General features: G+C 45.8%; 1 long non-coding RNA gene across 1 annotated transcript in view, besides 4 other annotated features; it reads right to left on the bottom strand.

The window, feature by feature from the left end:
* LINC02299 (long intergenic non-protein coding RNA 2299) overlaps positions 1-25,487 on the bottom strand; it is a 49,423-nt gene extending 23,936 nt beyond the window's left edge. Inside the window, exons 1-3 of the long non-coding RNA NR_146552.1 lie at positions 25,467-25,487; positions 22,409-22,517; positions 13,352-13,409 (exon numbers count right to left, since the gene is read on the bottom strand). This is a non-coding gene — a long non-coding RNA (long intergenic non-protein coding RNA 2299). The remainder of the gene's footprint in view (positions 1-13,351; positions 13,410-22,408; positions 22,518-25,466) is intronic.
* Positions 3,854-3,903: an enhancer, noted in NCBI's record as "active region_8992". NCBI's record gives its function as "activates an Ori minimal core promoter by ATAC-STARR-seq in GM12878 lymphoblastoid cells {active_cell/tissue: GM12878}" and the evidence as "EXISTENCE:reporter gene assay evidence [ECO:0000049][PMID:35858748]".
* Positions 10,564-11,374: an enhancer, noted in NCBI's record as "H3K27ac-H3K4me1 hESC enhancer chr14:97221641-97222451 (GRCh37/hg19 assembly coordinates)". NCBI's record gives its function as "activates a minimal SCP1, AML or CMV promoter by ChIP-STARR-seq in primed H9 embryonic stem cells {active_cell/tissue: H9 hESC(primed)}" and the evidence as "EXISTENCE:reporter gene assay evidence [ECO:0000049][PMID:30033119]".
* Positions 24,936-24,985: a silencer, noted in NCBI's record as "silent region_6057". NCBI's record gives its function as "represses an Ori minimal core promoter by ATAC-STARR-seq in GM12878 lymphoblastoid cells {active_cell/tissue: GM12878}" and the evidence as "EXISTENCE:reporter gene assay evidence [ECO:0000049][PMID:35858748]".
* Positions 25,321-25,821: an enhancer, noted in NCBI's record as "H3K4me1 hESC enhancer chr14:97207194-97207694 (GRCh37/hg19 assembly coordinates)". NCBI's record gives its function as "activates a minimal SCP1, AML or CMV promoter by ChIP-STARR-seq in primed H9 embryonic stem cells {active_cell/tissue: H9 hESC(primed)}" and the evidence as "EXISTENCE:reporter gene assay evidence [ECO:0000049][PMID:30033119]".

Here is a 27,978-nt window from a genome sequence, read left to right as displayed (position 1 = left end):
CAACGTAGTGTTGGAAGTTCTGGCCAGGGCAATCAGGCAGGAGAAGGGAATAAAGGGTATTCAATTAGGAAAAGAGGAAGTCAAATTGTCCCTGCTTGCAGATGACATGATTGTATTTCTAGAAAACCCCATTGTCTCAGTCCAAAGTCTCCTTAAGCTGATAAGCAACTTCAGCAAAGTCTCAGGATACAAAATCAATGTGCAAAAATCACAAGCATTCTTATACACCAATAACAGACAAACAGAGAGCCAAATCATGAGTGAACTCCCATTCACAATTGCTTCAAAGAGAATAAAATACCTAGGAATCCAACTTACAAGGGATGTGAAGGACCTCTTCAAGGAGAACTACAAACCACTGCTCAATGAAATGAAAGAGGATACAAACAAATGGAAGAACATTCCATGCTCATGGGTAGGAAGAATCAATATCATGAAAATGGCCATACTGCCCAAGGTAACTTACAGATTCAATGCCATCCCCATCAAGCTACCAATGACTTTCTTCACAGAATTGGAAAAAACTACTTTAAAGTTCATATGGAACCAAAAAAGAGCCTGCACTGCCAAGTCAATCCTAAGCCAAAAGAACAAAGCTGGAGGCATGACGCTACCTGACTTCAAACTATACTACAAGGCTACAGTAACCAAAACAGCATGGTACTGGTACCAAAACAGAGATATACAGCAATGGAACAGAACAGAGCCCTCAGAAATAATACCACACATCTACAACCATCTGATCTTTGACAAACCTGACAAAAACAAGAAACGGGGAAAGGATTCCCTATTTAATAAATGGTACTGGGAAAACTGGCTAGCCATATGTAGAAAGCTGAAACTGGATCCCTTCCTTACACCTTATACAAAAATTAATTCAAGATGGATTAACGACTTAAATGTTAAGCCTAAAACCATAAAAACCCTAGAAGAAAACCTAGGCAATACCATTCAGAACATAGGCATGGGCAAGGACTTCATGTCTAAAACACCAAAGGCAATGGTGACAAAAGCCAAAATTGACAAATGGGATCTAATTAAACTAAAGAGCTTCTCCACAGCACAAGAAACTACCATCAGAGTGAACAGGCAACCCACAGAATGGGAGAAAATTTTTGCAGTCTACTCATCTGACAAAGGGCTAATATCCAGAATCTACAATGAACTCAAACAAATTTACAAGAAAAAAAACAAACAACCCCATCAACAAGTGGGCAAAGGATATGAACAGACACTTCTCAAAAGAAGACATTTATGCAGCCAACAGACACATGAAAAAATGCTCATCATCACTGGCCATCAGAGAAATGCAAATCAAAACCACAATGAGATACCATCTCACACCAGTTAGAATGGCGATCATTAAAAAGTCAGGGAACAACAGGTGCTGGAGAGGATGTGGAGAAATAGGAACACTTTTACACTGTTGGTGGGACTGTAAACTAGTTCAGCCATTGTGGAAATCAGTGTGGCGATTCCTCAGGGATCTAGAACTAGAAATACCATTTGACCCAGCCATCCCATTACTGGGTATATACCCAAAGGATTATAAATCATGCTGCTATAAAGACACATGCACACGTATGTTTACTGCGGCACTATTCACAATAGCAAAGACTTGGAACCAACCCAAATGTCCAACAATGACAGACTGGATTAAGAAAATGTGGCACATATACACCATGGAATACTATGCAGCCATAAAAAATGATGAGTTCATGTCCTTTGTAGGGACATGGATGAAGCTGGAAACCATCATTCTCAGCAAACTATCGCAAGGACAAAAAACCAAACACCGCATGTTCTCACTCACAGGTGGGAATTGAACAATGACAACACATGGACACAGGAAGGGGAACATCACACACCAGGGCCTGTTGTGGGGTAGGGGGAGGGGGGAGGGATAGTATTAGAAGATATACCTAATGCTAAATGACAAGTTAATGGGTGCAGCACACCAGCATGGCACATGTATACATATGTAACAAACCTGCACGTTGTGCACATGTACCCTAAAACTTAAAGTATAATAAAAAATAAAAATAAAATAAAATAAATAAAGTGCACAATAAATGTAAAGGGCTTGAATCATCCCAAAACCATCCCCCACCAACCCCTGGTTCGTGAAAAAAAAAAAAATTGTCTTCCCTGAAACTGGTCCCTGGTGCCAAAAAAGTTGGGGACTGCTACCTAAAACAACATCCATTTATTATCTTAGTTCAGAAGGTCAGGTGTCATGATGACATCGCGGGACTCTGCTCAGGACTTCACAAGGCTACACTGAGGGTGTTGGCTGGCTGCTTTCTCACCTGCAGCTTGGTGTCCTCTTCCAAGCAATTCCTGCTATTGGCAGAATTCGGTTCCTTGGGACTGTAAGTTCTTCTTGGCGATCACCTGGGGGTCCCCTCAGCTCCTTGTGATTGCCCTCTGGTGCTTGCCTGTGGCTCCCTCCACAGGGATCCCTTGCATGCACAGTTCTCAATAGGGTCCGCGCTCCTATGAGAATCTGATGCAGCCACCGATCTGACAGGAGGCAGAGCTCAGGCGGCAATGCGAGCAATGAGGAGTGACTGTAAATTCAGATGAAGCTTCACTTGCTTGCCTGCCACTCCTTCCTCCTTCTGTCTCCTTCCACCACAGGGGCTGGGGACCCCTGGCTTATATGAATTAAATGTAGGCTTAGCAGTTATAGCAAAAACACAAAATAAGTGGCTCAAAGAAAAGAGAAACGTCCACTCACCTGTCTAGGAGCTGGCATGGCAGCTTCATGGCACTAAGAACCCAGGCTCCTTCTGCCTTCTGGATTTGCCACCCTAACTTGCTACCTGACCCACCTCTCAGTCCCCTTTCAAAGCAGCAAATTGAGGAAATAAGGGGAACACTTCCACATTTAAAGGCTTGTGCCAGAAGTGGCACACAAACATTACTTGTCTTCACAACGGAAAATCTGAAACTTTTCACAGCCTGGGTTTTGAAACTTGGCCACCTCTAGCCACAGAGAAGCCAGGAAAGTGTCTCCTTCTAGGCATTTCACTCAGCTACAAGTCAAGGGTTCTCTTATCTTAGAAAAAGGAGAGAACCAAGGTTGTGGACAATTAGGAGTCTCTGCCGCAGTAATCAAAGATCTATCTCTTTAAAAAAAAAATCACCATGCCAGATCGTTTTAAGAACAAATTCCCCCAAACCTTTAAAAAATAGTTTTAGATCTATTGACTTTTATAGAGCATAGGAAGCTTCCCAGCCCATCCTTTCAGGTTGGCATCACCCTGATATTAAAAACAAAAATAATGCACAGATAAAGAGAACTACAGGTCCGTATCACTTATAAACATAGAAGCAAATCCTAAATAAAATATGATCAATGGTCTGTTATGGAAATCACACAACTTAATCAAGTAGAGCCTAATCCCAGAAATGCAAATATGGTTCAACATTAGGAAATTCACTTTATTAACAGATCACAAGAGAAAATCATATGGTCATCTCAAAATATGTTGAAAAATAATCTGGTAAAATAAAATAACTAATCCCAGATTTAAATTAAAAAAAAACTTTTTATTACCTGGAAATAGGAGGAAATTTCCTTATGTTGATAAAGAACATTGTGGCATTGATTGCTGTAGCCCCCCCATCATCAATTCTCACTTCCTCCCTTTTGTAATGGTTCCTAAACCCTAGCTTTAGTTGTAGTTTAGAACTATAGCTTTAGGTGGGTATGTGGTCACTAAGTTACAGACTACATTTCCCAGGCTCCTTTGCCATTGAGAGTGGTCAGGTGATTAATTTCAGCCAATGGGATGTGAATAGAAGGCATACCTATAATTTGCCTTGTTACTGCTTTAAAGAGGAAGCTCGACATCCCTCTCCTATCTCCCGCTAGCTGGAAAACAGCAATGACTGATCATGTTTGGAAGCTACCTGAGGAGAATAGCAGAACCAGCCCTGTGCTGCCTACCCGGGACTATCACTGTGAACTCTTATGTAAGAGATCAGTTAGCTTCTATCTTATTTAAGCCATAGTATTTTGGAGTCTTCTTGTACCATTTAGCCTATGCCCTAAAACCCCACAAACATAATTTCCAACGATGAATCATTAGAAGCCTCCCTATTAAAGTCAGGAACAAGAAAAGGATACCTGCTATCATCTTTATTATACGACATTTTGCTGGAGGTACTAGTCAAAGCAATTAGGTGAGAAGAGGGATAAAATAATAAATATAAGAAAGCAAGAAATTTACGTTCCCATTTTGTGCAGGCAATATGATCATTTGCTTTCTAACTGAAGAAGCACTAGAAAGAATAAGAGATTTCAATAAGTTTCTGGAATATATATAATAGGTTTTCTTTTTTATTACTTTTTTTAAAAATTTTAAGTTCTGGAATACATGTGCAGGATGCGCAGGTTTGTTACATAAGTAAACCTGTGCCATAGAGGTTTGCTGCACCTATCAACTCATCACCTAAATATTAAGCCTCGCATGCATTAGCTATTTATCCTGATAATAGGTTTTCTATACACAATGACCAATTGGAAAATATAATAGGAAAAAAATCCTGTTCACAAAAAAAAAATAACATTTGTCAGTACAAATATGTAGAAATAAACTTTACAAAAAATGTGCACATTCTATTTTTTAAAAAAACTATAAGCTTTTCTCAATGATATAAGACAGCTTTAAAAAAATCAAGAGCATACTATTTGTAGATGGTGTACTCTGCTATAAAGATGTCAGTATTCCTCAAATTCACTTTTAAATGTTATGTATTCCCAATAAAAAGTTTATAGAACTTGATAAAGTGATTTTCAAGTCCATCTGTTTGAGTCCAAGAAGAATAAAAATGTCAAACATCTTACATGTTCTAGTAGCTTAAGTACTAGAAACAGACACAGAAACAGACAAATAGATCAATGAAATAAGAGAGAATACAAAAAAGAACTGTTGGATAAATGACAATTTTGTTGGTGGTAAAGATGGCATCTTACATTAGTGGAGAGCACAGACTATTCGAGAAATAACCTTGAGATAATTGGCCCTCCATTTAGAAATAATTTTAGAACTTTACCTCACACCATATACAATAATAGATTCTAGTTAAATCAAACAGCTAAGAGTAAAATTCTAAACTATAAAAGTGTATGACTAAAAGATAGGGGAACAGTCTCTAGAATGCCAAGTGAGCAAGACCTCCCTCAGCAAGGCACAAAAGAAGCCGTAAAGTGTCAGATCTCAAATCTTTCCCTCTGTTCCAGCCACACTCCTAGCAGTTACTGGACATTGCAGGCAGGCTCAGCTCTTGCTGTTCCCTAGGCCTGGCTGTTCTTCCCCCAGGCCTCTGTTTTAATGTTATCTTGTTAATGAGGCCTTCCCTGACCCTTTTCGAAAAATAGGCTTCGCTGGGCGCCGTGGCTCATGCCTGTAATCCCAGTGCTTTGGGAGGCTGAGGCAGGAGGATTGCTTGAGGCCAGGAGTTAAAGACCAGCCCAGGCAACACAGTGAGACCCCGACTCTACAAAAATAAAATAAAATAAAACTGGCCAGGCTTGTTGCTGCACACCTGTAGTCTCAGCTACTCAGGAGGCTGAAGTGGGAGGATCACTTGAGCCCAGGAGTTCAAGGATCCAGTGAGCTATGACTGTGCCATTGCACTCCAGCCTGAGCAGAAGAGGAAGACCCTGTCTCCAAAAAACAAAAAGCAAACAAACAAAAAACAGGCTTTAAAAGTAAAGTAAGCCTCTACTGCAATTCTGTGCTGAAGCGTAGCTCTACAGGAACATGGTGGAATCAAGGGCTTTTTTTGTTGGAAACATCTAATAGATTAATTTGTCTAACAACACATTTAGGTCCTGAAGTCTCTCTATAACCTGTGCTTAAATGCTTCCAATGTCAGGGAAAGCATTATCCTCCAGGAGGATCTGTTCTGTCAATCTATCCACCAACCCATCATTCATCCACCCACCCAGCCATCCATCCATCCACCTATCTGTCCAACAGCCCACCCATCCTTCCTTGCACCCATTCATTCATTCGCTACCTCCTCATCCTTCCATCCATCTTTCCATTTATCCATCCATCTACCCACTCATTCATCCACAGCACCATTACACAAACATTTACAGAGCATGTATTATGCACCAGGCATGGTGGTAGGCACTGGGGTTTTTGAATTGAATATATCATGGTCAGGCTGTCAAGGACTTCAGAGTTTGTGCATGTAAACAAATAACAGTAACACATTATGACAAGAGCTGTAACAGAGTTCCTTTTCAACTGCTGTGGAAGAATGGAAGTAATAACTTCTGGGGGTGTCAGAGAAGGTTCCCAGCAGGGATAGCATGTTAGCCAGGAGCTGAAGAATGTCTAAGAGATATCCTCCAAGCAGAGACGGGAAGAAGGGCATTATAGATGGAGGGAATAGAAACAGAATGCAAACATGTATACACACAAAAGCTTCATAAAATTGCAAATAGGAGGGCAGGACAGGGGATGTATGAGATGGGGAAGAGTGAGGCAGGAAGAAAGGCATCAGGCAGTGTGCCTGGAAATGTGACAAGAGACGGATTCTGAAAATCTTTGCAAATCTTGCTTAGGTTAAAGTTTTGGTGAGTAGAATGTTCTCTAGAAATCTCCGTAAAAAAAAAATATGCAAAGAATCCCCATGCTGTTCTTACATTAATCTGTGCTGCCGGCTTGGGCTTAGATGCAGCTTTGCAAAATATATTTTTTAAAGTTTCATTATGCCACTGTACATCAAAATAGGCCAATATAAATTATAATACGGTCATGCCAATAGGACTTGCAAACACAATATTTTAAGTTTATATTGCATTCCAAGACCCATAAAAATTATTCCGAATGGCTGTTTGCTTTTTGAAGCCAAATGAAAAGGTATTTGCAATTTGATTATTAACAAATCAAATCACTGATGTGATATTGGATTCGGTACATCTCAAACTGACTGAGAGTGAAAAATCCTCAGTGGTCAATTATGTAGCATGGCTGGTTTATAGTTTCCTGTGTGTCATTAAGAATAAGCACCACGGCCAACTCAGATTTTATTTTGATTTATTTTAACCATTTCTCTACCCTGAGAATTTCTCTCCTAGCCTCTAGCAGGCATAGCAGCTTTGCCCTAACTGACATTGGTGTGGGTACGACCTGTTGGATGGTTGACTAAGTGAACAGATTAAGGGGTGGATGCCCAGGTGAATGAATGAATACATCGAAGGAGGCATTATCACATGGATGAGGGAATTCATACCACTTACACTGCACTCCAGACTGGAATAACTGGAATCTCAAGAACCAAGTTGCTTTCATCGTGGAAAGAGTGCTGGTTTTCTGACCCCCAGCATGTAGTCGCCCTTATTTTTGATATTGCTTTGTGGCTTTGCCCTGTGTCCTTGACTAATATAAAAGTCTCCTTTTTTTAGATATGTTCAAAGCCTTTGGAGAATAATAAATAAAGAAAAAACAATATGCCTTCCAGTATAATTGATCATTCTAGATTGAGCCCCCTGTGCAGTGTCTCTGATCCCTCTGCAGGTTCAGGGGAAACCTCCTCCTTCCAGCAAAGATATCTCTGTCCTGCCTCAGCGGGATGTGCTTTTGTTTTTGAGGAAGTCTCTTCCCACTCACTTCAATGTGAGACCTTCATTCCTGGGAATTCTCAGATGACATAAACTCTGCTAATGTACAGAAATGCGTGACTCCAGAACACACAGGATACGTGCCTCCTGTTGAGAGGCCACTCTGTTTTGCCTTCTGATCAGAAACCTTGGGTTCTAGTTCCCTTCCTCTCTATGAAAAGGATTTGGGTTTGGGGCAGTCACACCTTGTCCTGCTCAGTTTTGAGCCCTCTCCAGATGGCTACTGATGCAAACAGTCCCCCACTCCCAGGTAGACACTGCTTCTGTGACAGCTTTCCCAGGCTTCTTGCTGTTTTCAGACCTGAGTCTTACAATGAGTTGGGCAGGACAAGCTTTAGGAAAGTTATGTGTCTTATACAAGGTCACAGAAACGGATGTCTATTTGTGTCTATCCAGGGTCCATTTCCCCTCAGAATAGATATTTCCCATATATATATATATATATTTTTTTTTTTTTTTTTGACAGAATCTCGCTCTGTCACCAGGCTGGAGTGCAATAGCACAATCTTGGCTCACTGCAACCTCCGCCTCCCAGGTTCAAGTGATTCTCCTGCCTCAACCTCCTGAATAGCTGGGACTACAGGTGCACGCCACCACACCCAGCTAATTTTTGTATTTTTCGTAAAGATGGGGTTTCACCATGTTGGCCAGGATGGTCTCGATCTCTTGACCTCATGATCTGCCCGCCTTGGCCTCCCAAAATGCTGGGATTACAGGCATGAGCCACCGCATCCGGCCTAGAGATCTTCTTAAGAGATGTCTTCCCCCATGCTCAGGACTTGATGTGGGCAGAGCTCATGCCCGTTCCATCTTGGAGGGGTAGAGAATGTTCCTTCCATACCCCTCCCTTCTGGCCACATCAGGAATGTTTCAAAAAAGAGCCTGTTATCAGCCAATGAGGTGGATTTCCAGGACTTTTGTTGAAAGTAGTGAGCAACAGTAGGTTTGTTCACTGGCATTGCTGGAAGCAGGGGTGAAACCAGTCTGGGAGTTCTGGGGGATAGCCAGGTGGTTTAGAAAAGAAGCCAGCACGAGAGAGCAAGACATGAGACAGGGAAAAACAAGACCCAGTGATATTCTTTGAGCTCCTGGATCCAGCAATGCCTGAAACTAAATCTCCCTGGACTGTTACATTATATATGTATTCTGATTCTGCAAACGATCCATCTCAAAATACAGTGGTGTAGAACAGTCATTTATCGTTATCTGCATGGTTCTGTGGGTTGATGAGCTCAACTAGATGGTCTTGCTCAGGGTTGTTGACACTATTGTGTTCAGATGCCAATCAAGCTGGATGAGCTGGGGACCGGCCAGGCATCTCTCTCCATGCAGCCTCCCACATGGCTGGTGTGGACTTCCTCATAGAACGGAGGTCTCGGGAGAGCCGGACTTCCTACTTAGTGTCTGGCTTCCCCTAGAGTGAGTGTTCCGAGGGAACAAGGTGAGAGCTTCAACTTCTGCCTTGGAGGCCAGCAGCGTTATTTCCATGGGTTACCAGCCATGTCCATGTGTTACCAGCAAGTCTCAGGGCCAACCCAGATCCAAGGGGAGGAAGCTACACAAGGGCATGTATACACGGAAGACATGAGTCATCGAGAAGCTACTTTTGGAGACCCGCTACCATGATATGCCAGCCAATACATTCACTTCGATGCCCGTAAATTTAGGTTTCTGCCACTTGCAACCACAAGCAAGTTTGCCACTCACAACCATAACCACAGCCTAAGTTAGGATGCAGCCCTGCTCTCCTGTCTCCCTCTCAAGCCCAATTCAGATGCCGCTTCTTTGTGCACCCTCCTCCATCCTCTTCCCCCTACCAGAATTAATCTCTTCCTTATTGAAATCCACAACTGTGTTGGAAATCGGTAGAAAGAACTGAACAAAGCCTGAGTCATCAATGAGGCTCAACACTCTGCTGAGGAAACTTAAGCTGGGGAAACCGAGACCCAGAGAGGCAACACCAAAGTCACTCAACAAGTTTCTGGATTCGGGAAAGCACCCAGAGCCCTTATCACATTCTCTCTCATAGAATGGATATTATGTACATAGCTGATTCTCTCCACCGGACTGTAAACTCCTGATAAGCAGGGAGTATGCTACTTCCTCTCTGTACCCCCCACCACACCTTGGATGGGGTTTGAACAGGGGACAACTGCAGAACTTGTTTGCTGAAGCAACTTTTACCTCGGGACTTTCCCAAGTCCGCTCTGCCCTAAGCTATCATTCAGTTTCTGGGGAGCCATCTCTCTGCCCCCACTAGAAAGTAAGGGCAGGAGGGACAAAAAGCAGCATGATGTGGCAAAAAAGCAGCACACAGGCTTGGCGTCAGGCAGGCCTGCATTCTATTTATTTTATTTTATTTTATTTGTTTATTTATTTTTTTGGAGACGGAGTCTCACTCCGTTGCCCAGGTTGGAGTGCAGTGGCGCCATCTTGGCTCACTGCAACCTCCACCTCCCAGGTTCAAGTGATTCTCCTGCCTCAGCCTCCTGAGTAGCTGGGGTTACAGGCGCGCACCACCATGCCCAGCTAATTTTTGTATTTTTAGTAGAGATGGGGGTTTCACCATGTTGGCCAGGCTGATCTCGAACTCCTGACCTCAGGCGATCTGCCTGCCTCGGCCTCCCAGACTGCTGGGATGACAAGTGTGAGCCACCGCACCTGGCCAGGCCTGCATTCTAATACAGGCTCTGCAAGTAGAACCTCCATTTTCTTATCTGTAAAATGGGATGTGATAACTACACCTGCCTCCTTGTCATGTGGCTGTGCAATGCAATAATGTATGCAAAAGGGCTTTGAGATTCTAATAAGCTACATGCACGCAAGGGGTTGGCATTATTAATAAATTCGGATGCGCAGAAGCCCGTGTGCTGGCAGGGCCAGGGAGGGGATGGAGGGGCACCACAGCCCAGATCCCCAGAAGAGCTGCCCCCTCCGCCTTCCCTTCTTGCCCACCCCACAGCTTTTTCCAGGCCCAGGGAAGAGCAATGTCACCAAGAGCTGCCCATCACAGCCCAGGCAAGGAGAGCCTGAGCCCCCTCAGATTTCTGCTCCCCCTGCAGATTTCCACCCATTATTAGCCCTGAGTGGGGAAAGAGACATGACTAATTGTGCCCACAGTTGCCTCCTGGCATGGACAATTAGCCACCTGCATCTAATTCTGAGGGACCCAGAGGCTAATTGCATCTGCCAGACCCCATGGGTGTGTGTGTGTGTGTGTGTGTGTGTGTGTGTGTGTGTGAATTTTTGAGCTACCAGTGGGCACCAAAGCAGAGGCTAAGATGAGTGGGTGTTATTGCATTTAACACTCGCTAAGAGCCTGCTGGCCCCTGAACACAAAGAAACCAGGGCACGACATTGTCCTTCCCTATGGAGGAGGGACAAAGGAGGCTTTCACTGGTGAATGAGCAGAGCACATCTCCTAGCTGGTGAGCCTGCTCTGACTCACTCTCGGGGTGGAGGGGCTGACTTCAGGGTGGACACTGCCATCAGAACCACGGGCCCCAGGGTTCCGGAAAGATGCCATCCTGGACCCTCCCCTATGCCCCTCTCCTCCCTTCAGAGCTCTGAGCATGCTGTACGTTGATGCAGATACATTGGCCTGTATGCCTTCCCCTTCTCTGGCTCAGGGCTGGGCACACGGTAGGTGTTGAGAAAATGTGTGTGGATGAATAAATGAATGAGTAGATGAATGAATGACACCTGCTGCCTCCATCAGGGCATCCTGGTTTCAGCCTGTTTTGTTAGGGCACCCTGGCATATGCCTTCTCATTTCATGCCCATCCTTGCCAAGCAGCATGCAGAGACCTCCAGGGGGTTTGGCTGTACGGGGGGACCCTGACATCTCCCCCGATTCCAGCCTGCGCCTGCTTTGATCTGGACAAAGGCCGAGTGCCTGACCTTCACCTCCAACCCTTGCTTTCGCTCCCACTCCTGCAGCAGCTGCTCCCCCTGGCTGCTGAGGACTCTGGGCCCCATGTAGAGACTTCCAGCTGGAATTCCCAATCCTTGGCTCCACATCCATCTGCTCTGCATCTGCTTAGGAGGCACGCCTGCCCTGGCTGGTCCCGTGGGATTTAATCTTCTCAGGCCACCTCCCCCAACCCCCTGTGGGGCAGATGGACTACCTCCTCTGAGCCACTTGAGCCTATCCCTGCCCAGGCCTCCATCTGGCCCCATTCCACTCCCCCACAGAGCCCTTTGCCTAATGTGGCTCAGTTGTTTGCAGAGGATTCTTTGCTCTGGCAGCAGGGAAGTGGTTGTTAAGGTCAAAGTAGACCACTGCTGTGATAAACTCCCACCTCTCAGTGGCTTCCCTCAATAACACACAGTGTAGGCCTCTCGCAGTGGCTCACACCTGTAATTCCGCACTTTAGGAGGCCAAGGTGGGAGGACCGCTGGAGCCCAGACCAGTCTGAGTAACATAGTGAGACCCAGTCTCTACAGTTTTTTTTAAATAAGAAATAAATAACACAACACAGCCCAGCATGGGTGGGTGAGGGTGTTCTGCTCCATGCAGTGATCCCACCAGCCAGGCCTCCTCCATCTGGGGGTCAGGGTCCCACACTGTCCCATCTGCGTCCAGCAGGCAGATGAAGGACAAGGGAGTGTGGAGAATAACAGGGAGGTTTCCAAGACCTTGTCTAGAAGGGGCATACCTCATCTCTCCCACATTCCATTGAACTCAGTCATATGGCGGCACCTAACTGCAAGGAAGCCTGGGACTTGTAGTTCACTTATGTGCCCAGGATGAAAAATGAACAACTAGCTGGTCTCTGACACTCCCCACCCAGGATCTCAAATATAAAGCGAAGAAAATGAGCGATTAGGCATTTCCTCTGTGAAACACCACGATGTGGTATCCAAACTCCCTGCCTCATTCCTTGGCCTTCCCTCTCCCCCTTCCACACCCTGTGTATACTCCAGCCACCTCAAAGCCGGTGAGTTAGGACCCCCGAAGCTGCCCCCAGGCTGTTGGACAGGTCTGTGGTTTGCTTATTTCATTTCCTCTGCCTCGGGTGTCCTCTCCATGTCCCCCACGCTCTACGCCACCTTCAAGACCCCCCTCAAGGGCATGCTTCCCTGCAGAACACCCCCCGCCAGCCTCCTTCCCAGAAAAGGTGGCAGCCTGCTCGCTCTCTGCCACCATCGTGCCCTGCACCTGCCCACGCACACTTTCTTCTCCATGGCCCACTCAGCAGTCCACCTGCATGCATTGAATTGTGTCTCCCTAAAAGATATATCCAAATCCTGACTCCTGGTACCAGTGACTGTGACCAAATTTGGAAATAGGGTCTTTGCAGATGTAATTAACTTGAGCATCTCAAGATGAGATCATCCTGGATCTAGGACTTGTGCCCTTGTAAGAGAAAGGAGAGGGAGATGTAACACAGAGACCCAGGAAGGCCCACGGAGAAGGCCATGTGAAGATGGAGGTAGAGGTGGGAGCGACACAGCACGAGGCAGGAACACCGAGGACTCCTGGCAGCCACTAGAAGCCAGGAGGGAGGCATGGGGCAGACTCTCCCACAGACCCCTTAAAGCAGCAGTCCCCCACATTTTTGGCACCAGGGACTGGTTTCATGGAAGACAATTTTTTCACAGACTGGGTGGGGGGATAGTTTTGGGATGATTCAAGCACATTCCATTTATTGGGCACTTTAGTTCCATTGTAATATAAAATAAAATAATTATACAACTCACCATCATGTAGAATCAGGGGGAGCCCTGAGCTTGTTCTCTTGCAACTAGATGGTCCCATCTGGGGGTGATGGAAAACAGTGACAGGTCATCAGGCACTAGATTCTCATAAGGAATGTGCAACCTAGATCCCTCAAATGCACAGATCACAACAGAGTCCGCACTCCTATAAGAATCTAATGCCACCACTGATCTGATAGGAGGTGGAGTTTAGGCAGTAATGCAAGCTATGGGGAGTGGCTGTACCTACAGATGAAACTTCCCTCACTAACCTGCTGCTCACCTCCTGCTGGGCCACCCAATTCCTGACAGGCCATGGACAGGCACTGGCCCATGGCCTGAGGGCTGGGGACCCCTGCCTTAAAGAACCAGCACTGCTGACACCTTGATTTCAGACTTTTGGCCTCCATTACTGTAAGAGAACAAATTTCTGTTGTGTTAAGCCACCAGATGTGTGGCAATTTGTTACAGCAGTTCTATGAGTCAAATACACCACTCATGTGGCCTCTGACCACTAAAAGCCAACTGCAGATGTTACATCCGGGAGCCATAGCTCCAACGCTTTGAGAGGCCAAGCAGGTGATGCAAGTATGTGTAGGACCTAAGAGAATGCCTGGGCCTGTGTTGAGCATGAAAACATACGCCTCCCTGGAGAATATTCACATTTATTTTTGTTTAAAAAAGAAGAAAAACTAAAAGAAAGTGCTATGACAGTGAAACAAAACAGTGTTGGGAATTCGGCCTGTAGCTAGGGTGACCATATGTCCTCGTGTACCCGAGACAACTCTGGATTATCCCTGTTGTTCCCGTGTAATTTTTCCTAGGCCCCTCGACCCTCAGAAGCATCCAGAGTGAACGGTGAATGATGGGCTCACTCATGGGCCATGAGTTTTCCCCTGCCTTCAGAACAAGCATTCAGAAAAGATCTGCCTTATCCCACCTCCAGTCATGTCCCCACCCCATTGATAGTGTAGATGATTATTCAGCAAATATTCACTCCCTCCTGACCTCCAGTCCCAGGGGAGGAATATTTTTCCCTATCCAGCAGATGCAGGACTTGCCCATGTGACCGCTTTGGCCTCACGGTGGGCAGAGTTTGCTTCCCTGCTGTTGCATTTTGGTCCCAGCCCCATGACTTGCTTTGGTTAATGGGATGTTAGCAGAGATCATTGAGCTGAATTTGAAAAGCACTTGCACAAGTGAGCCACACCCCTTGCACCTCTGGCATCATGCGGAGAGCTTCTCCCAGGTACTTGCTGCCCCTTTTTAAAATTTTATTTTATTTTTTAACTTTTATGTTAAGTTTGGGGTACAGGTGCAGGTCTGTTATGTAGGTAAACTACACGTTGCAGGGGTTTGGTGTACAGATTATTTTACCACCCAGGTACTAGGCACAATACTCGATAGGTAGGTTTTCAATCCTCACCCTCCTCCCACCCTCCACCCCCAAGTAGGCCCTGGTATCTGTTGTTCCCTTCTTTGTGTCCGTATGTAGTCAGTGTTAGCTCCTACTTATAAGTGAGAACATGTAGCATTTGGTTTTCTGTTCCTGCACTAGTTCACTTAGGATAATGACCTCCAGTTGCAATCATGTTGCTGCAAAGGACAGGATCACATTCTTTTTCATGGCTGCATAGTAGTCTATGGTGTACATGTACCACATTTTCTTTATCCAGTCCACTGTTAATGGGCATTTAGGTTGATTCCATGTCTTTGCTCTTGTGTATAGTGTTGCAATGAACGTACACGTGCATGTGTCTTTATAGCAGAACAATTTACATTCCTTTGGGTATATACTCAGTAATAGGATTGCTGGGTCAAATGGTAATTCTGTTTTAAGTACTTTGGGAAATCACCAAACCGTTTTCTACAATGGCTGAACTAATGCACATCCCCACCAGCAGTAAATAAGCATTCCTTTTCTCTGCAACTTTGCCAGCATCTGTTATCTTTTGACTTTTAAATAATAACTTGCTGCCCCTTTAGCCTGGACCCTGGGATGAACACCCTTCGAGTAGATCTGAGCCCAGTCCTCAGAGAGAAGCCAAACCCAGCCAAGTCCTGCTTACATCAGCTGAACCCCCGCCAACCTGCAGAGGTGTGCGAGAGAAACAAATGCATATTGTGGTATGTCCCTGAGGATCTGTGATTGTTTGTCACCCAGCGACAGCTGACTTCTACAGCCACACACTACCATCTGCTCCCAGTGTGTTTGTGTTCACTCCCAATTCCCTGGATTCCAACTTCAGACTCCTGACCCCGACTTCAGTAAGGGTCTCGTGCCTCTCCATCCAGCTAGGACCTTGGCTGATCTCTCCGTGCCACCTCTGGGGAGGCCTCCTCATGTCAGGCCCCAGCAGTGGGGCAGAGGGGTGGTGAGGAGATCTGGAAAATTATAGGATTTCCCTTGTTGTGCTGGATTGAATTAATTACATGTCTGTGAACCTTCTAGGCCAGCACTGTGCAACAGAAACAGAATGTGAGCCAGGTGTATAATCTAAAATTTTTCAGTAGCTACATTAAAAAGTAAAAAAGAGGCCAGGTGCAGTGGCTTACACCTGTAGTCCCAGCACTTTGGGAGATTACAGGGCAGGGAATCACTTGAAGCCAGGAGTTCAAGGCCAGTCTGGGCAATAAAGTGAGATCCTGTCTCTATAAAATATTAAAAAATTAGCTGGGCATGATGGTGCACACCTCTAGTCCCAGCTACTCAAGAGGCTGAGGTAGGAGGATTGCTTGAGCCCAGGAATTGGAGGCTGCAGTGAGCTGTGATCGTGCCACCGCACTCCAGCCTGGGTGACAGAGTGAGACCCTGTCTCAAAAATAAATAAATAATTAATTAGTTAAGAAATAAACAATTAATTAGTTTAAGTAAAAAGAAAGTGAAATTAATTCTAATAATACATTAAATTTAGCCCAATATACCCCAAATATTATTTCAACATGTAACCAACATTAATTACTTAAATTATTATATGTTTCTAATATATTATATATACGCATTATTTAACAGATATTTTGCATTCCTTTTCATGCCCAGCCTCTGAGGTCCAGCGTGTATTTAACAGGCACGGCATGCCTCACTTCAGACCGGCCACATCTCAGTCCTTAACAGCCATATGTGGCTTACGGCTACCATACTGGACAGCGCAGCTCTGAATAATGGAAGGCAAAACTCCATGTCACCAGTGTGTAACGTGGTGCCTGGCACACAAGGGGCACTCAGTAAATAAGTCCTGAATGGATGAATGATAAACACATAGGCATTGCTTTAAAGCTGAGAACAGGTGGGCAGACCTGTTACCCACGGGGAAAAAAAAAATGCCTATGGCTTAGACCCATCAAATTTTCATTATAACGGATGGTGGTGTTTTGGAAGGCCACGTTGGCTGGTGCTGTGTCTGCGTCTGAAGCAGACTTGCTCAAAGGGGTCATATGTGATGAAAATACAACCTCAGGCAGCATTTCCCAAACTTGTCTGACCACTGCATGTTATTTAAATTGTTCTGTTTTTGTCAGGATGCCAATAGAGCATCCTTATGTGATACTGTTTAAGTTGAAGCAGACAGAAAAAAAATGATCTCAGAGTTGAATTAATTGCTGTAAGAAATGATCAAAATTTGATTCATATGCTTAATATAAAGTAAACATTGAATATTTGCACCAATAAATGTTAAAATCATGAGATAAAATGCATAACAAAGACCGGCAATTGTCAAATAGAAACGCACACAGCCTGGCAGTGAGAGGCAAAATATACAACCTACTGCTGAACCTCATGCTTCCTGCCTAAGGTGATTTATCAGGGGACTTCCTATTGTTGTCAGGTACAGGAGACCCTTTCCCAAAGGAAGATCAGCACTTAGAAATAAAAGCTACGACCAGCATGGCCAACATGGTGAAACCCTGTCTCTACTAAAAATACAAAAATTAGCTGGGCGCAGTGGCGCACACCTGTGATCCCAACTACTAGGGAGGCTGAGGCAGGAGAATCACTTGAACCTGGGAGGCGGAGGTTGCAGTGAGCTGAGATCACACCACTGCACACCAGCCTGGGCAACAGAGTGAGACTTTGTCTCAAAAAATAAAATAAAATAAAATAAAATAAAATAAAACTAATAAAAACTACCAGTAGTCAAAGATGTATCATGTGTCAGGCACTGTTCTAACTCTCTGAGGCTGATACCACAATCAGGGTAATTTTATGGATGAAGAAACTGAGTCACAAAGAGGTCAAGTAATTTCCAGGTCAGGTTGAACCTGGGGATTCTGGTTCCTGAGCCGGTGCTCCTAACTGTTATACCACACAGCCTCTTTTAATAATTAGAACCACTTTATACATTTTTTGCATTTTTCTAATGTACACTTTAAAATGAATTTAAGACGAACAATGCCACCAGCTGTGAGAGCTCCTGTCCTTTGGAATACCCACGAACATCTCACGGAACCTTTGTGTGCCATGGAACGGAGTTTTGGAAATGGTGCTGGAGAGATATATGCAAACACTATTTAATACTGCCAGAAGCTGTTTCAAACCATTTATTGATTGATTTCATCACTCCCCTTTCTCGCCACCCCTCTTTCCAGAAGAACATCTTACAATAAAAACAGAGTAAAATCAGATCAAGCAGGGAGGTGTAATATTACAGGTAATGCTGTAGAAATTAAGCCCGAAATCTTGTTCTGAGCTTCCCAACAGCTGGAGTCTGGAGCAAAGGCCGGCTGGGCGTGGAGTTCTTATTGTCTTAGAGGTAGGACCAGCCCGTGTGTCAAGAGAACCAATTTTTCTTGGCCCAGTGCCCTAGAATGCACTTGTCATAGAGACATTTGCATTAAGTGGCATTGAGCAGTGTAATGAATTATATCCCCAATAGTCATTTTACAAAAAGAAAAAAAAAATGCAGTGATGTTCCTTGGGCAGCTCTTGCATCACCGTGGAACCTTTGCTGAGGGCAAAATATTAAAGTGTTGCTCCACGAAACAATTCCAGAGGGGAAATCGAGTAACTCCAGCACCTTGATTCTAGACCAAAAAGGAAGTGGAAGCAATTCTGGAATTTCAGCTTAAGCTGCTTTCAGATCTGTTCTCCCATCTTTATGCCTGCAGCCTTCTTCGGCATTGTCTCCCAATACCCAGCTCTGAGCACATGCTGTCTTGCCCAGAAGATTGCAACTATTCTGCAAGAATGTTTCTCTCCATGCACCAACACAGGATAGGTACTCACTGAGCATTTATTGCTGAATAAAGGAATCATTCAAAACTTAAAAATACGAAAAAAAAGGTCTCACATCACTCCTGCCAACTTGCTGGTCCCCAAAGTCAATGTGCACTTGCCTTTCTCTGTGCCTTCCCTGGCCTGGCCCCTGCTGTTAAAATCATACTCAGATGCCAACTCCTCTATGAAATTTCCCTCTTTGCCTCCCGCAGAAATGCGTACCATCTTCACCATTCCCCCCGGCATCCAGCACAGACAGCTGCTTACCCCGGGGCAGCAGGCAACAGTGGCTTTTAATGTCAGGACGCCTGGCTTTGAGGGGCTCCGGTAAGTCTCTTAAGCAAGTCTGAGCCTCGGTTTTCTCATCTATAAAATGGCCAGGCGGGAATGAGGAGAGCTCTCTAAGTTACAAAGAGCTACGTTAATGTGCATTCACCCAGCAGTGCCCCTCCAGCCTGAAGGTGGCTTTACAGCAAGGTACTCATCAGCGTCACCTCTCCATCACCAAAATGTCTAGCAGGGGCCTGGCTCAGAGGACTGAATAAACGCCGGCAGACTTAAATGCAAGGGGTACAATACATGTGCTTTATGGCTGGTATGCTAGGTCTCCAACCCAGATATTCTGGGCAATATTCATAAATATCTAGAATTAACTCCCAACACTTCACATTTCTTTGATTTCATGGTTCTAAGAATAGAAATAACCTTTCAATTTTAAATAGAAATTGCGGAGCTGAAGACAAGTGACGAAAGTCTTCCAAGACATCCAGGCTCAACTGCAGAGTTCAGGGAGGGCACGGAACACCGAGGGGGAGGTCTGTTTGACAAATCTTTGAGCCAAGCCAGAGTTCCAGAGAGCGAGGTCTGAGGCGGGCTCCGCTGGAGGCAGGCACAGCCTGGGCAGAGATGATTAGCAATAAATGGAGAACACCTCAGGGGACCCTCCTACAGACAGTCTGTCACCCAGTGTTTTTACCATTCCATTTCAAAGTTTAATTAGATAATCACTTTCCAATGCCTACATGCAATTAACCCCTTTGGAGCAGCCCTCGTTCACAGTCAACTTTCACAGGCCACAGAAGCCGAAATGCCCACGACGAGCCTCGGCGTCGCAGATTTCAGGAAAACATTTCTCAAGGAGAAAAATAACTAACAAACATTTGTGGGTTTTAAAGAGAGAACTTCTTTCTTAAATGCCAGAAAGAAACCATTTCTCATCCAAGAGCTCAGCGTGAACCATCAGTCCCTCCTTCCTCGTACAAGGCCATGGACAGAACCATCTTCGGGCGCAGCCAGGCTGAATTCTTCTGCTAAGGGAGAGAAGGGGCTTGCAGCCTGCCCTTCAAGGCCACCTGCCCGGCCAGCTGCACGTGCAACCTCCTCTCCCTTCCTTGAGGGTTGCTGTGCTTGTCCCATTTCATTTAACACACTGGGAGAATGCAGATTCCCTATGGTCCTCTTTCGCCCGTGTGATTCACAAACCCAAGACGGCAAAAGACCAAACTGAATTCACAATGTCCCTGGACTTCTTTTCTTTTCTTTTCTTTTCTTTTCTCTTCTCTTCTCTTCTCTTCTCTTCTCTTCTCTTCTCTTTTCTTTTCTTTTCTTTTCTTAGAGATGGGGTCTCACTGTGTTGCCCAGGCTGGTCTCAATCTCCTGGCCTTAAGCAATCCTCCCACCTCCACCTCCTGAGTAGCTGGGACTAGAGGGGCACACCACCATGGTCAGCTTTCCTGGACTTTCAAAAGCGATTTGTTTATTTGCATGGTCTTTTAAAGCACTCCTATATGTCACGTGACCCTTCCAATATCCCCACGAGGTGGACAGGAAAGGGATTGTTATGCCTGTGTAACATGCAAGGACACTGACTCACAGAGGGGCCAGATTCAATGTCACACAGCTGGTAACAGGCAGAGCAAGATTCCAACTTAGGGCCCCAGATACAGGCTCCCAGTTGCACACTCTTTCCACCATGCTGTCTTTATTTATTCCATACCTACTTATTGATTGCCTACTATGGGCTAGGCCCTGGGGATTCAGCACTTCACAGGTCACAGGAGCTACCTATTCTCAAAAGATTATAAAACTAATGGAGGAAGCAGACATAAAACTGCAGCGTGAGAGTCCAGTGAGAACTGGAAGCCCTGGGAGCCACAGGATCCCAGTCCAAGAGCCCAACCTGACACTGGGAAGCCAGGTGAATAAAGCAGAGCCAGGATGGGGGTGAGCAAGGCTGGAGGAGACACTCAGTCTGTGGGGAATGCAAGTCCTGGCCCTGTGACTCATGGATACACTGGAAAATATTTAATGACTGGCTCTGGGGGGAAACAGACGTGATGTGTAGTGTCTGCCCACTCCCCTGGTGTAAACGCTGCCATTTAATGACTGGCTCTGGGGGGAAACAGACCTGATGTGTAGTGTTTGCCCATTCCCATGGTGTAAATGCTTCCATAGCTGCTGATGTCAAGCTACCAATGTTAAGTCACTGCAGGTTGGGAAGAGATGCAAACATGTGCTCCTGCAAGCTGGTGCAAGCTGGTGCCAGCCAGTGGAGGCCGACTCCAGCATGCCACTGAAGTGACATCTAGAGCAAGGCCTGAAGGGCTCATCACAGGGTGGACACAAAAGATGGATTTGAGTTTGAGTGAGACCAGAGGCAAAACTGAGGACAGGTTTTTACAGAGCTGTGCTGTCCAATACTGTACTCACTAACCATATGTGGCTATTTGGTTTAGATTAAAATGTATTACAATTAAAAATTCAGTAGTTTGGTGGCACTAGACACATTTCAGATGCTCAGTGGTTACATGTGGCTAGTGGCAATCACATTGGACAGCACACGTTTTAGAACATTTCCATCCTCATTGAATGTTCTATTAGCTAGCACTGTAGGGAAGGAGGGAGGCAGGATGAATTTCTAGCAAGAGAAGAGAAGCTGTGACATGGAAGATGAAGGGTCAGCTAAAATAAGCTTCCTCAATGTCCCAATTTCACCAAGGATCAGCCTCAAATGAAGGATGGGTTGAATGAATGAAAGTTAAGATGTTGAGCTCCTCTACTGTGCTGAGCCTTTTTTTCCTTTTCTTTTCTGTTCTGTTCTGTTCTCTTCTCTTCTCTTTCTTTCTCTCTCTCTCTCTTCTTTCTTTCTTTCGTTCATTAGCTTGTTCTTTCTTTCTTTCGTTTTTGGTCAGGGTCTCACTCTGTCACCCAGGCTGGAGTGCAGTGGCATAATCTTGGCTCACTGCAGCCTCGACCTCCTGGGCTCAAGCCATCCTCCCACCTCTGCCTCCCAAAGTGTTGGGACTACAGGTGTGAGCCACCACACCTGGCCCTGTAGTGAGACCCTTGCTGGGTGATCTGCTCCCTGCCCTTGAGGAATTTACAGCCCTGGTACACAGTAGGTGCTCAATACATGTGTCAAGGCATTTTGGACCATCTTGGGGACAGTGCTCCATGGAGCACGCTTTGGGATGCACCTGTCCAAACACAGCCCTGTGTGAGCAGGTGAAGCCCAGGGCTGCAACTACTGCTCAGGTGCTCAGGTGCTGGCCCACAGATCATCCGGCTTGGGCTAAGACACCCATCGGGAAGTAGCTTTCTCTCCAGTGAGACTGTACTGTGTATGTTCCTTGTTTCATCAGCACACAGGAGCATGGTGATGACCACAGATACACAGTGCTCGGGTCAGTTGCTGAGGAAACCAAGCCCGTGTTTAACAGCTAAGGCAGCAGCAAGCCTTTGGTGGAGCCCAGCACAGCCCCACCTCATGGAGTGGAAGCCGGATTGGAATCTAGCTACACTTTTCTCCAAAACCCATGCTCCGTCCCTACCCCCCACACACTCACCTCTTGATCACTTTCATATCACAGCCCCTGCTCATCCGAGAACCTCGTTTCCTTCCCAGAAGTCCTCCTTACTTCTCTTCCCACAGAGCCCGTGTCGCTTTCACAGCCACTTTAAAAAGGAAAAACAAAGGTGACTTTTATTCTATTCTAAAAGTAAAATCTCACTCTTTCAAGAAAATTAGAAGGCAAAAGAGAAGTGGAAGGATAAAGGAGGAAAAACTTTGCCCATAGTTCCAACCATACAAAGACAGGCACTGTGCGGGTATTTTCTGTGTAACTTTTACTTTGTGGAGCATCTTTTTCGTGATCATGCTGTGGATTCAGCTTTGAATCCTGCTTTTTGTCTCAGCACGCGATCACCTGCACTCCCAGGTTACTGTACTCTTACCAACATGGTTCTCCACGGCAGCATCAATTTTAAGTGGCGGGTGGACCCTGGTTTACTCAAATCGTCATCCACTTTTGTTGGACATCTAGGTTATTTCCAATTTCTCTTTCAAGTATGGCAGCTTGGTTTACTTCTCCAGCTTTTTCCACGTTTCAGAATCTTTCTTTGGGATAGATTTTCAGCAGTGGAATTACTGGATCAAAAGATATGTGTATCTGGCTGGGCACGGTGGCTCACACCTATAATCCCAGCACTTTGGGAGGCCAAGGCGGGCAGATCACCTGAGGCCAGGAGTTCAAGACCAGTCTGGCCAACATGGCCAAACCCCGTCTCTACTAAAAATATAAAAATTAGCCGGAGGTGGTGGTACATGCCTGTAATCCCAACTACTAGGGAGGCTAAGGCAGGAGAATTGCTTGAACCTAGGAGGCAGATGTTGCAGTGAGTGGAGACCTCACCACTGTACTCCAGCCTGGACAACAGAGAGAGACTCCATCACAAAAAAAAAAAAAAAAAAAATGGTGGGAGTATCTTAAAGTTTCTTAATACAGATTGCCAAATTTCTTTTTACCAATTTATACCCCCAAAGCTCAGGTGTGGTGGCTCACACCTGTAGTCCCAACACTTTGGGAGGCAGAGGTGGGAGGATAGCTTGAGCCCAGGAGGTTGAGGCTGCAGTGAGCCAAGATTATGCCACTGCACATCCTGTCTTCTCTCCTCCCTCACCAGCCTTTGATTTTATTGTAATCTTTCCTCACTCCATAGGTTCATGTACTAACTCATTGTTTTATCTGAATTCCTTTTATTATTTTGGTGATGGAGACTTCTCTCAAATACCAACAACCGTTGAAAAGTTTGGTGGCCACTAAAACTGGACATATCTTTAATAAAATTGTGCCAGGTTCCAAGGCTGCCCGATCGGCAGGGAAGATGCAAGGCTGTCCTGGAAAGTCCAAACTCTGGGAGCTTGTGGAGGATTCTCCGTGACCACGGCCTTCTGGACTCTGGTATCCCATCCCCATCACCATTCCTACACTCACCTAATGCCACCTCTTCAATGAGGACAGTGAATTCCAAATAAACGGCTATTTGTCTGTGTTTATAAAGCAAAGGACAAACAAAAACAAGCCTGGCCTGAGGGGGCTGCAGAAGGCACCTGTCACCCTGCAGACCAGAAGCTCAGGCAGCAAGATCCAGTGGAGACTAATTCCAAGACGCTGGACGGAAAAGAGGTGGCTGGCATTCTAGATGACTATGCTAGAGGCCTGTGGCTCTTCTGTGAAACTCCCTGGGGAACAGGGGGCAGAAAGAATATAAACAGAAATATGAAGTTGGAGGCTGAGAAACAGAAAAGGAGAGAAGAGGCAGGGCCTAGTGGCTCAGGCCTGTAATCCCAGCACTTTGGGAGGCCAAGGCGGGCGGATCAGTTGAGGCCAGGAGTTCCAGACCAGCCTGGCCAACATGGAAAAACCCCGTCTCTACTAAAAATATAAAAATTAGCCGGGCATAGTGGCGGGCACCCGACAGTGAGAGCCGGAATCGCGCCACTGCACTCCAGCCTGGAGGGAGACTCTCTCAAAAAGAGAGAAAGAGAGAGAGAGGGGGAGAGAGAGGGAGGGAGAGGGAGGGAGACAGGTAGGGAGGGGAGAGAGAGAGAGAAGAAAAAGTTACAGGGAAGAAAAAAAGACAAACGGCGAGAATGCTGTAGGATGGGGAAAGGCAGACAGAGCAAAGTGGAAGTCAGAAATTGTGATCCGCTGCTCTAAAATAAATCAAACAGGGAGAAAAGAGAGACTCAGGGGTATGTGGACAGAGAGTAGAATGGGGAGGCACAGGACAAGGGAGTCCCCCAGGCCGGAACAGGCCAGAAAGCCAGAACCTGGTCGAGGGGAGGGGGCGAGCAGAGCGGCGGGGAGCAGACGGGAGAGAGGGTCGCGCCGAGCCGCGAACACCCGAGGAAAGGCAGCCCCGCCGCGCCACTTCCAAGGGTCCGGGCTTGGGCCACTCGCCCCATGCCCAGGGTTCGGGGGCAACACCAGCGGGCGGCCGCAGCCAAGGAAGGGGCTCCCCAAAGTTTGCAATAAAATCACCCACGCCCGCCTCCGTCTCGGAGGGACTTCGTGTAAATGCACGAGCCCAGGCACCCCCTCGGCCCCTCGCCCCCCTCGCCCCCCAGCCTCTGCTGCAGCCCGGGCTGCTTCTCCCGCGGGCGGGTGGTGCTTGGAGGCGGCGGCGGCGTGCGGGCCAGCTCGTGGTAATCCCCGATGCTGACGCTAGAGGGCGCGCAAAGGTTGCTGCGCCGCGCCAGGTCTGCGAGGAGCGGCGGGTAGAAACGCAAAAAGCGTAGGGCCTGCGGGTGTCGGCACCAGCAGTGGGGTGCTAGGGGCTGGACAGTGGGGTGCCGCGGAGCCGGGCAGTGGGGTGCTGGAGGCGCTGGCCCGGATGGCTGATGGGAGGGTGCCATGCAAAGAGGTGTTGCTCACTTTATTTATTTGGAGAGAGGTTGCCCCTGCATTAAATCTTTGCAAGACTGAAACAAGCCGGTGCAAAACTAAATGAGAGACAGGCGGAGGCAGGCAGGGCAGGAGATGCCCCACACCTCGCTCCCTGGGTTATGGAACCCCCAAAACTGCTTTGGGGGAGAAATAGTCTGATCCCACCAGTACTCACCTCTCCACACACACGCACGTCCTTTCAGAATGGGGTTGGGCGGGGGAGGTGGTGAACTTTAAAAGGCTTTTAAAGGAACAACAACAAAAAAAAAAAAGGTTTGCACAAGGCTGAGGTACTTGAAATGATTTTTGTGTTGCAAATTGCTATGCTTTTACTGAGGCGCTGATGAAAATAAATGAAGCTCCTCTCTCTCTTTTTGCTAATAAATGAAATGAAAAAAGCGCCATTATTATGCCACCTGCTTCTAATTCCTAATTGTGGTAACTTAATTCTCAGATTGTTGTTAGCTGCTTAATATCGCAGGCGCACAAGCAAAAATAAAAATATGAGGGCCGTTTGGGTCTTTTTTGGCCAACGAGGTGGAAGGTGCTTGGACTCAGTTTTTTGTTTAGTTTGGTGACAGTTCCCACAGTGAAATGTGTGCACGGTATTGGAAGGGAGAAATCTTTATTCTCTTCAGCATCCCAAGGGGAGCTCAAAAGGAATAAAAAGGCTTCTGAGCTGCTCAAAACCTAAATAAATAGTCCATGAAAAATGATCAGTGACAAGGTCCGTATTTTTTCCATACTGAAATAGAATGGTGCATATTTCCTATAAAAGAAGAAAACATTAATTTTTATAAGCTGGTTCCTAAATGCCTTCTATGAACCTCTGAACCACACAGTTCCCAGCCTGGGCATTGTAGCTGGGTCCCTGGCTGAAAAACCTTTCTTTCGGGTGTGTCACAGATGACAGGTAAACTCCTTCCCAGTCATTATTTCCGGGCCCTCCAGTCTAGGGAGGTGGGGATGGCCATGGGGCGGGGGGCGGTGGGGGGGGGGGGTGCGATGAGACTCTTAAAATTTCTCCCAGGCAAATAGAAATTAGCAGATCTGAATCACAATTCTGTGAAAGTCAAGAGCTATATTTAGCTTCTTCTCTTATTTTCCATTAAAACCAAGTTTTTTTGTTTGTTTTCCCTGGTCTCTCTTATTGTTGGGAAGTTCTGGAGTATCAGACTTGTCAGGAGAGTGTGAGAGAGCCCGAAATAAGTACAAATTTAGGAGAGAAAATGCCATATTTCTCTGGTACAATTATGAAAGGATAGAATATTGCCATACACTGTAACACATTTTTTTTTCTTCTCTAGTTCCAGGCAAACAGCTAAATAAACACATAATAAGCATTTAATCGAGAACAATTTGTCACAATGTTGCTAGTCAACAAGACAGAACTGCCTTCTGTGAAACCGAATAAAATCAACTTAATACTTCATGCCCTGGCCTCCTTGGCCTTTGAGTTTTTCACATGAGATGCGTTTGTCCCTTATGACTGTGAATGAGAGTACCTTGGAAAATGCTGGCTCAATTGCATCCAAGCCAGTTTGGGGCCTGCCGGGGAAAGCAGCCAGACAGACCTTCAATCCCAGTTCAAACTACCCTCTAAGTGTTGCAGTGACACATGGCAATGTCCTGTTGACCATAAAATCCCGTTCTAGCAGACGAGAACACTGTCCAGCTCTAAGCAGAAGGGCAGCCCGCTCGAGCAGACCGCGAGATGCTGCCCAGTCCAAAACGTGAGCAAAGTTCACAGGGGAGAGAACGCAGCGCAGCCGCCCCGAGTCAGCCCTGAAGCAAGAAAAACCAAAAGAAAACACTTGTGAATGAAACTTAAAGCTCTCAATGGAGCTGGAGCAGCAGGTGCTGTTTAAATAACCAAAATAAGGTTGCAAGCAACAGATCCTATGTTTGCTGGGTTCTTTCCTATGCTGCATGACATTAGAAAGGGAGTGTGTAAAAATATAAGGCTACATCTGCAGGCAGAGCTAGGCTGATGGTGAGGAGACGCAGCAAATGAACCCCAAATTCAGGAAAATATGCAAAAGGTTTGCTCTTTAAATTCTACAGGAAAACAGAAAGTGGAAAATATGTGTGTCTGGGTTGTAGTGAGGAGGGATAGATGAAACATAGAATGCTAATGTGTCTCATGATCAACCGAGAGTATCTTATTTACATCTTAAGCTATTTGTTGCTGATTTTCCATGCAACTGTTTTGTACTGGAATTCTCAAAGCTGAACCAGAAGCATTTAAATGACCCTGTACGTTTGCTGTGTGTCTTCTAGAAGGTGTAGACACACACACGCGCGCACACACACACACACACAGCCGGTCCCACATCTATGTGCATAAGCCGCATATACTCCCCCTTATCTCTACAAATCTCTGCCATCTCTATATTCCCAAACACAGGAGAATCTATGTATTTATTTCTCTCTTGAACTCGACTATGCAACACAAGTCAACACTCTTAAATGTCATCTTTTAATACCTCATGTAAAAGGCAAACTTTTCCTAACATGCTTTTCTCCAATCCTATTTAATGAACTCCCCTGAACACTGCATGTACCCAATTTCATCTGTAGAGGTAAGGCATAATATTAAAAAAATTTTTTTTTGGTATTAAAAAATGAAAGGAAAAAAGCAGGGGAAATATTTTGAAAGTCAATTAAAATTTTGTGTACGTTTTCAT

The sequence above is a fragment of the Homo sapiens genome, chromosome 14, assembly GCF_000001405.40.
Source record: "Homo sapiens chromosome 14, GRCh38.p14 Primary Assembly".
Lineage (NCBI taxonomy): Eukaryota > Metazoa > Chordata > Mammalia > Primates > Hominidae > Homo > Homo sapiens.
Note: the sequence above shows the minus strand (reverse complement) of the source record. Positions and strands in the feature narration are given on the sequence as shown.